This window comes from Homo sapiens, chromosome 7, assembly GCF_000001405.40.
Source record: "Homo sapiens chromosome 7, GRCh38.p14 Primary Assembly".
NCBI lineage: Eukaryota > Metazoa > Chordata > Mammalia > Primates > Hominidae > Homo > Homo sapiens.
The window spans coordinates 90,417,935-90,426,510 of NC_000007.14; the positions used below are offsets into that span (position 1 = coordinate 90,417,935).

Sequence of the window (8,576 nt, forward strand, 5' to 3'; positions counted from 1 at the left end):
AGAGAGCCCTTTGAACCTCACTGCAGGACTGTAGGACTTGGGGAGAAAAAGCACATCTATATCCTGCCTGGTGTTCATATCCAAGTCTGCTATTACAGGGAGATTTGGGTTGGTTTGTTGTATTTTGTTTCAAAATATGCCAACTTTTCAGGTTGTTCTATAGAAAATTGTATTCAGCAAAATTTGGGGAAGATAGCGAAATGGTTGATGAGAAGAAAAAGAACCTTTTTCTTATTTTATATGAAAAACCCAGTGTGACTGGACCTCTTAGCAAAAGTCTAGTAATCATGATTTTGGGGTGGTCTTATTAACCAAAATCCTCTTTAGAAAGATGGAATATATGCTTATATCTCCAGGATTTTGCTTTATAGGAAAAAAGGCACAGCTTCTCATTAAGAGAAAAGACATTATTGATACTTTACATTGTATAATACCTAGTGGCCTTGTTTCCAAGGTTCACTCTCAAATTGTTGAAAGTGAATCTAGTAAATAAATCTAGATAACTCACTTACATTTTTAAGTAACTTTTGTCTTTTTCTCCATGCCCCCTTTCTTGACCTCACTTTCAAAAGATAATCTTGTGGTGTGGAAGATCCAGGTGGCAGTTTAGCACCAGGAGGCTGCTGCAGGGAAACCCCAGGCCCTGGTAGCCCTTCTCTGGGGTGAGCCCATCTTCACCTTTGCTGGCCATGTGGATGAGGGCCGAGACTCAGCTAGTCCCTTGTGTTCCAGAACTGCTAACCTGCTTCTCTGGCTGCTTCTGCTTTAAGAGCTCAAAGGTAGCAGTGGAGTGCTGGAGCCAAGTGGTACTGGCCCACAAGAACCAGTGTGTACATCTCCTCCCAACTGCCCAACCTGTGACATCATATTGGTTGCTTGGAATTGGCCAGGGTGAAAGTACTTATGCTCTAGAAATTGTTAAATGCTGCAAGTTAGGGCTTTGCTTTGCCTTTTCCTGAGAGCTGATTATTAAACATTTACTGGCACACCGCTGCTTAGGCAAGACACGTTTGCTGAGATTCAGGTTAGCTAATGAGGAAATGAAAAATAATAGCAATGCTGAGAGTTGTAAAATGTTATCTGTGATAAAGGGGCTATCTGAAATAGCCTCTTAACAGGTCTCTCTGTCTCCAATATTGCTCTCCTACCCTACCACAAATTTATCTATACACAGGGCTGCAGAATGATCCTAATAAAATGCAACTGAGGCTGGGCACGGTGGCTCATGCCTGTAATCCTAGCACTTTGGGAGGCTGAGTGAGGCAGGTGGATCACCTGAGGTCAGGAGTTCGAGACCAACCTGGCCAACGTGGCAAAACCCCGTCTCTACTAAAAATACAAAAATTAACCGGGTGTGATGGCATGTGCCTGTAGTCCCAGCTACTCAGGAGGCAGAGGACAGGAGAATCATCTGAACCCGGGAGTCAGAGGTTGCAGTGAGCCGAGATCGTGCCACTGCACTCCAGCCTGAGTGACAGAGCGAGACTCCATCTCAAAAAACAAAGAAAAAATGCAACTGATACCTAGTTTCTCCCATACTTAAAATAAAATTTGGCAGCTACATCTTAGAACAGTCTAAGCACAAAGACATGAGTTGTCTAGAAGAATTTTTTCACTGTGCCCAGAGATGATAAGACTGTTGGTGATTATTGACACAATATCTCACAAGATGAATGTGTAAAAAAAAGTGAATTTAATAATAAATAACGGGGAATATTCCTTTTCTGTGACTGACTGGTCACAGTCCTTATTCAAGGAATATCTGTTTCCTCTATTACTCATTATTATAGAAAAAGTGGCATGATGAATGTGGTAGCTAGCCTCCAAGATGGACCCAGTGATCTTGCTTCCTGATATTCATACCCTGTGTATTTTCTTCTCCCATTGAGCAGGCTGTGTTACCAGTAGGATTTTGCAGAAATTATGATGTGTGACTTCTGAGGTTATAGGTCATAAAAGACATAGCTTCTGTTTTGTTCTGTCTTGGATCACTTACTCTGGGGTAAGCCGGCCACAATGTTGTGAGGACACATACAGCTGTAGGATTAACACAGGAAGAGCTGAGGCCTTCTGCCAACAATCTGTACCAATTTGCCACCCATGTAAGAGAGCCATTTTGGAAGTGAATCCCCCTAACCCCAACCAAACCTTTAGATGACTGCAACCCTGGCCAGTGTCTTGAATGCAACCAGAGTGGGAAACTGAAAACCAGCATCACTCAGCTAAGCCCTACCACCTTCTTGACCCACACAAATTGGATGAAACAATGCTTATTGTTGTTTTAAGCTGCTAAATTTTGGGGGGGTTGTTTTGCAGCAGTAGATAACTAATGCAAAGAGCAGTTGCAGGGGATCAATCCTGAGGAGTATTTGTGCTATAAGTATTGTGAGCTTTCCTTGCTCCATATCAGAAAAGCTCTTTCTCATGATCTCAGATTCCCTTGGAAGGTGCTGACTATCGCTATAATGTGGTGAAACAACTTAATCTGAAGGTAGGGAGAAGGAAGATCTGAGCTTAGATTGGGAGCAGAGTTCTTCCTAATTTTGGTTAGGTATGAATAGCTGCTGTTGTTACCAAAGCAATAAATTGAACACTGGTCATACATGAGGTTTGGAATAGAAGATAAACACATTTGCAATCAAATAAATCTGATACACATAGTAGTTATGTTGTCATATGGTTAGCAGGAGCAAATAAACCAATCCTATAAAAAATACATCATCTGTTAGTTTTTATCCAACTAGCCAATTGTATCTAGGGCCAACCCTTTTAAGAAGATACAACTGATAGTTTCTCAGGTGGGAAAGGAAATAGCTGATTCCAAGACATTAGGCAGTTGAACTGAAGTGATGCCTCCCTCTAGTAGCAGTAGAACACTACAGCTTATTCCTCCCACTATAGCACTGCAGGGTAACCAGAGTTAACAATAATTTTATTGTATATTTTCAAATAGTGAAGAGAGGATTTTGAATCTTCCCAACCCAAAGAAATGATAAATGAGGTGATGTGTATGCTAATTGCCCTTATTTGATCATGACACATTGTACACATGTTCAAAATATCACACTGTACCCCATAAATATGTAAAATTATATGTCAATTAAAAATAATAATAAATAGACAAAAGCCTGTAGCAGTGGTTGTGAGATAAGGGTTGGGAGAAGGAAGCTGAATTGTACTGACATTTCAGTATAGTGAATTTAATCTGTTTTCCCAACATTGGCTGAATCTGATGGCTTTAGACTTTTCAAGGGAAGCAGCCTAAGGACATTGAGCTCCTTGGTTGGGAATAAAAGAGGTTCATTGAAGAAAATGTGACCGAAGTGAAGGAATGGAAGGCTCTTGCCCTTCTACTGTTTTCAGACTTCTTCTCTCCCCTCTCAGCCTGTACAACTTGTCAGGCACTAAGGTTGAGAAAGCCATAAAATGCTAGTGAAATAAGGAGAGACTGTTAAGATTCCCCCCACAATGCCAATGGACTTAAGCTAGCTTTGGCAGGGAACAGAGCAGGAATTAAGGAAGTCCCAACACCTTGTGGCAAATGAGAATTACCTAGTTCAGCTCCAAATGAAATTCTGTGCCCTTAGGAGCGATATTGTGAAAGAATGATGAACAAAAAATCAATTTATTCACAGAACAAAAGCATATCAGTGTTAAAGAAATAAAGGAATTAAAATTTTAAAGATGTTTCAGAAAGAAAAAATGGCAAAAAAGAAAATTGTCTTATCCTGATTTTTTACTTAAAATCCCTGTCATTGTCAGTCACGTATCAAGAGACTGGCAGCCTGTCTTTCTATGTTTATTAATTTGTTTTGTTTCCACGGATGCTTCTGAAATCTTTGTTAGAGGCAAAGGCACTCAGACTGCCAAGAGAAATTAGCAGTGTTTCCACTGTGGCATAGACACAGATCACACCAAGAACAAATAGAAGCATTCCGCTGCATACTGCCCCAACTCCTGCAGGATCTGTGCTTTTGGCTGGTATGGTGACATGAGGGCAGGGTCGGCTTCATGGGCATGAGGCCTGTGCAGTCACAGAGAACCGGGCACTCAGAAGGGCCCTGCTCTTGTTTTAATATTCTGTGGTGGGTGTCTTGAAATTCGTAATTTTTGAACAAGGGATCCTGCATTTTCATTTTTCAGTGGGCTCCACAAATTACGTAGCTCATCCTGTGTGAGGGTGCTCTGGGGAAGGCAACACACCAGCTTTGGAGGTAGGCAGGCTTGGAATTCCATCTAAGCTGCCTCTTACTACACAATGGGAAAATTATCCTCTGAACTTCAGATTTTCATCTGCAATGAGGACAATGCCTTCTACCTCTTGGTGTTATTGTGAGGATTAGACACTGTTGTGAAGGAATGCAGGTAAAGTGTCTAGAACAGCACACCTGGCTTCACCGTGATTATTCATAAAAGGCAAGTCTCTATATTGGATCCCAGTTGATGTTAGTGCTGGTCATAAAAACAAGAAAAATATGTTTTCTTTAGAAAAGCAGCTCTCTCTTTCACATCTTACAGGAAGCTGTGGACTTACATTGCCACGGCTATCGCTTTTGCCAGGATTCTCATGGCTTCTTATTGCAGTTGCAGCCAAAATAGAGACTACGAAAATTAACAATCCTCTTAAATATTAGCTGCTTCTTGTAAGGTAGTTGTTTTTCATGATTCCACACCAGAAACAAGGAAGTCAATGAATTTTCCCAATTCTTTTAAGAAGATATTAATGTGAGTAAAATACACAATTTAAAATACCTGATGCCCTTTCTGATAGCCTGGAGCAAAGGATGTTTCCACTGTTCCCACTGTCAAAGCAGCAGGTCTATTCCAGCCCCCAAATAGCTGTGGTCAGAGAAACTTACTTCCTTGTTTATTACTTCTAAAGGTAGAGTGATATTGGAGCACCAATTTACCAAACCCAAACCAAACTGTAAGTACTACCTTGATGGGCTGAAGTAGTCCCTATTGTGGGGAGAGGATATGGAGCTGAGACAGGCCCTGACATTACACAGGGTTGAGATGATGTACCTCAAAACCAATGCCCATGACACTGTCTAAATACAGCCTATTCTTGTTATTCATTGTACTTATTTTCTGTAAAGTAGCCACGCATACTGAATAAGTGAGCACTGAACCATTGTTCTTAGAGGAGATACAGGGTTAAGTCACAATCTTTGGTCACATTTTCGTCAGTTGGCCAGTACATAATCTTGTTTTATGAGTGTTTCTGTTTAAAGACACTTTATTTAATGTATATTCTTGAGTCATTATTGTTGAACTCATAACCAATAGCACTATAACTCATGCCTAAAGGAAGCTTATGTAATGCACACATTTTCCCTATGATGCACATCACAGTCTTCTCCTGCTTGGGAACGCTAAGACAGCACTTCCAAACTGCACTTGGGGGCCATTTTAAACAAAATCACCAATAAAAATTACAAAAACATGAAAAATGTGGCACTTGTTTTTGGTATGAGAGCTTGTGGGAAGTCAGGAACCCCCGAATGGAGAGACCAGCTGAAGCCATGGCAGAAGAACATAAATTGTGAAGATTTCGTGGACATTTATTAGTTCCCCAAATTAATACTTTTATAATTTCTTATGCCTGTCTTTACTGCAATCTCTGAACATCAATTGTGAAGATTTCATGGACACTTATCACTTCCCCAATCAATACCCTTGTGATTTCCTATGCCTGTCTTTACTTTAATCTCTTAATCCCATCATCTTCATAAGCTGAGGAGGATGTATGTCCCCTCAGGACCCTGTGATGATTGCGTTAACTGCACAAATTGTTTGTAGAGCATGTGTGTTTGAACAATATGAAATCTGGGTACCTTGAAAAAAGAACAGGATAACAGCAATGTTCAGGGAACAAGAGAGATAACCTTAAACTCTGACTGCTGGTGAACCAGGTGGAACAGAGCCATATTTCTCTTCTTTCAAAACAAATGGGAGAAATATCACTGAATTCTTTTTCTCGACAAGGAACATCCCTGAGAAAGAGAATGCGTCCCTGAGGGTAGGCCTCTAAAATGGCCACTTCAGGGGTGGCCGTCTTTTATGGTCGAAGCTTAGGGATGAAATAAGCCCCAGTCTCCCGTAGCGCTCCCAGGCTTATTAGGACCAGGAAATTCCCACCTAATAAATTTTGGTCAGACTGGTTGTCTGCTCTCAAACCCTGTCTCCTGATAAGATGTTATCAATGACAATGCATGCCCAAAACTTCATTAGCAATTTTAATTTCGCCCCGGTCCTGTGGTCCTGTGATCTCACCCTGCCTCCATTTGCCTTGTGATATTCTATTACCTTGTGAAGCACGTGATCTCTGTGACCCACACCCTATTCTTACACTCCCTCCCCTTTTGAAAATCACTAATAAAAACTTGCTGGTTTTGCCGCTTGTGGGGCATCACGAAACCTGCCAACATGTGATGTCTCCCATGGACACTCAGCTTTAAAATTTCTCTCTTTTTTATTCTATCCCTTTATTTCTCAAACCAGCTGACACATAGGGAAAATAGAAAAGAACGTACGTGAAATATCAGGGGTGAATTTCGCCTGATATCTGGCTGAATTTCCCCCGATAAGACCTGAAATGAAGACAGAGTATTGCCATCTTAGACCTCAACTGGGAACATGCACATCAGGCCATTCAAGTTTCTATGGCTCTGTGCATGTCCAAGAGTGGCCATGAAAGTACAGTGAGTATTGATTTGGGAGCTACGAATACATTTTAGTGAGTAGGCAAATTTGCACATGTGGAATCCACAAATAGTGAAGATCAATTGTACATAGAAGTGTACATGGTACATGTACTTGTACATGTACAAGTGTACGTGGTAGAGGAAGTGATTCCACTACCTTAGTGGACTTGAAGAGAAAACACATCCAGATTGTTGGTTGAGAGATGCACGTACATGTGACATTGGGCAGTATCTCTCACATCATTTACAAGTAGGATGCAGCAGAGATACCATGAAGTCAGAAGAATTGAGATTTCTGTGGTTTCAGGTCTTTGTCTTACTAGCTGGGCAACTTTGAGTAGGTGTCTGAAAACTTCGTTTCTCAGTTTCCACATGTGTTAGTTGAGAACAATAATCATCTTTCAAAGTGAGATTGTGAGGGTGCAGTGGGTTTTTCTTTAAGTTCTGGCTTACTGTTACTTAATTTAGGGGCTAGGATTGAAGACGGTGAATCAGGTGTCATATTGTGTTTTAGAATATTCCTTTGTATATGGTTTGTCTCCCCAGAAAGAAAAGCAGATGCCAAGTCCATACTAATATTTGGATTAGGGTAATGAGTATGTTTTCATTCAAAATGCATTATGAATCCAAGGGAATAGAATATAACCATAAGCATTTTCTGGTTAAACTGGCCATCCTAATTAAGATAAAGTAATTGAATCAATAGTTTTAAGGCCTACACTAACTTATACCAGGATTTTAAGAGCAAAATAGGAACGAGAAATAACAACTTCTGATATGTTAGCCTCAAAGGAAGAGCCCAACAAAAAGTTGGCTCCACTGTGTTGGACAGCAGTTGGGGTAGGTGGAGGAGACACATTAAAAAGACCCAACCCTCAGCCCAGACTGGAACTACTGCGCTGTTCTTCTATCATGTTGAAGACACACCCTAACCTTTCAATTCTGGGACAGGAAATATGAAATGTACACATGTGAGTCATGGGCCAGGAAGAACCTTTTATATTTCATCAGTTAGCCTCCATGTCCACCCTTTGGAGATGTATGCCAGAGCTGTAAGTGTTCTGCTCCCAGGCTAGGGATGGGGGAGAGGGTACTGGGCATTTATGCCATTCTATCTTTTTAGATAAAAATTTGTTCAAAACTCAATACTCAGACTTACTTTCCTCATCTTGAAATGCCTAAGGCTAAAGAATATGTAATTTAGTTCATTTAGATAGACTAGAAAAAAATTGTATATCAAAACAAAAAATAATTCTTCATGAAAAAATAAAATAACATGTAAACCTGCTTTTAAAAATTGTAGAATGCTCCGTGGACAGAAAATATTAGGAATTGATTGGTGTCTATAAATAACATACATATATACATAATGGAATACTATTCCACCATAAAAAGGATGAAGTGTCTTTTGCAGCAATGTGGATGGAACTGGAGGTCATTATCTTAAGTGAAACAAGTCAGACACAGAAAGTCAAATCCCACATGTTCTCACTTATAAGTGGGAGCTAAATAATGTGTACACATGGATATATAGTGTGGAATAGTAGACAATAGAGACTCAGGAAGGTGAGGGAGTGGAAGGGGGTTGAATGGTGAGAAATTACTTAATGGGTACAATATACATCATTTGGGTGGTGGATACCCTAAAAGCCCTGACTTTACCACTGCAACATCTATCTGTGTAACGAAATTACACTTGTACCTCATAAATACATACAAGTAAAAAAAACCACTCTTATACATGTTACTCTGTTCATACAATTTCTTTCAAATGGAAGATATCTAAAAAACAGCTGTGTCTTCAAGTTTGGTATTCCACATCTTCATTTGCCAAGATGAGGCCTTTTCTACTCTGTTCATTGTCATTAT

At 40.2% G+C, this 8,576-nt stretch overlaps 1 annotated feature.

Moving 5' to 3' along the window:
* Window positions 7,441–7,735: a silencer, noted in NCBI's record as "tiled region #3343; K562 Repressive non-DNase unmatched - State 24:Quies". NCBI's record gives its function as "represses a minimal TATA promoter and a strong SV40 promoter by Sharpr-MPRA in K562 cells {active_cell/tissue: K562}" and the evidence as "EXISTENCE:reporter gene assay evidence [ECO:0000049][PMID:27701403]".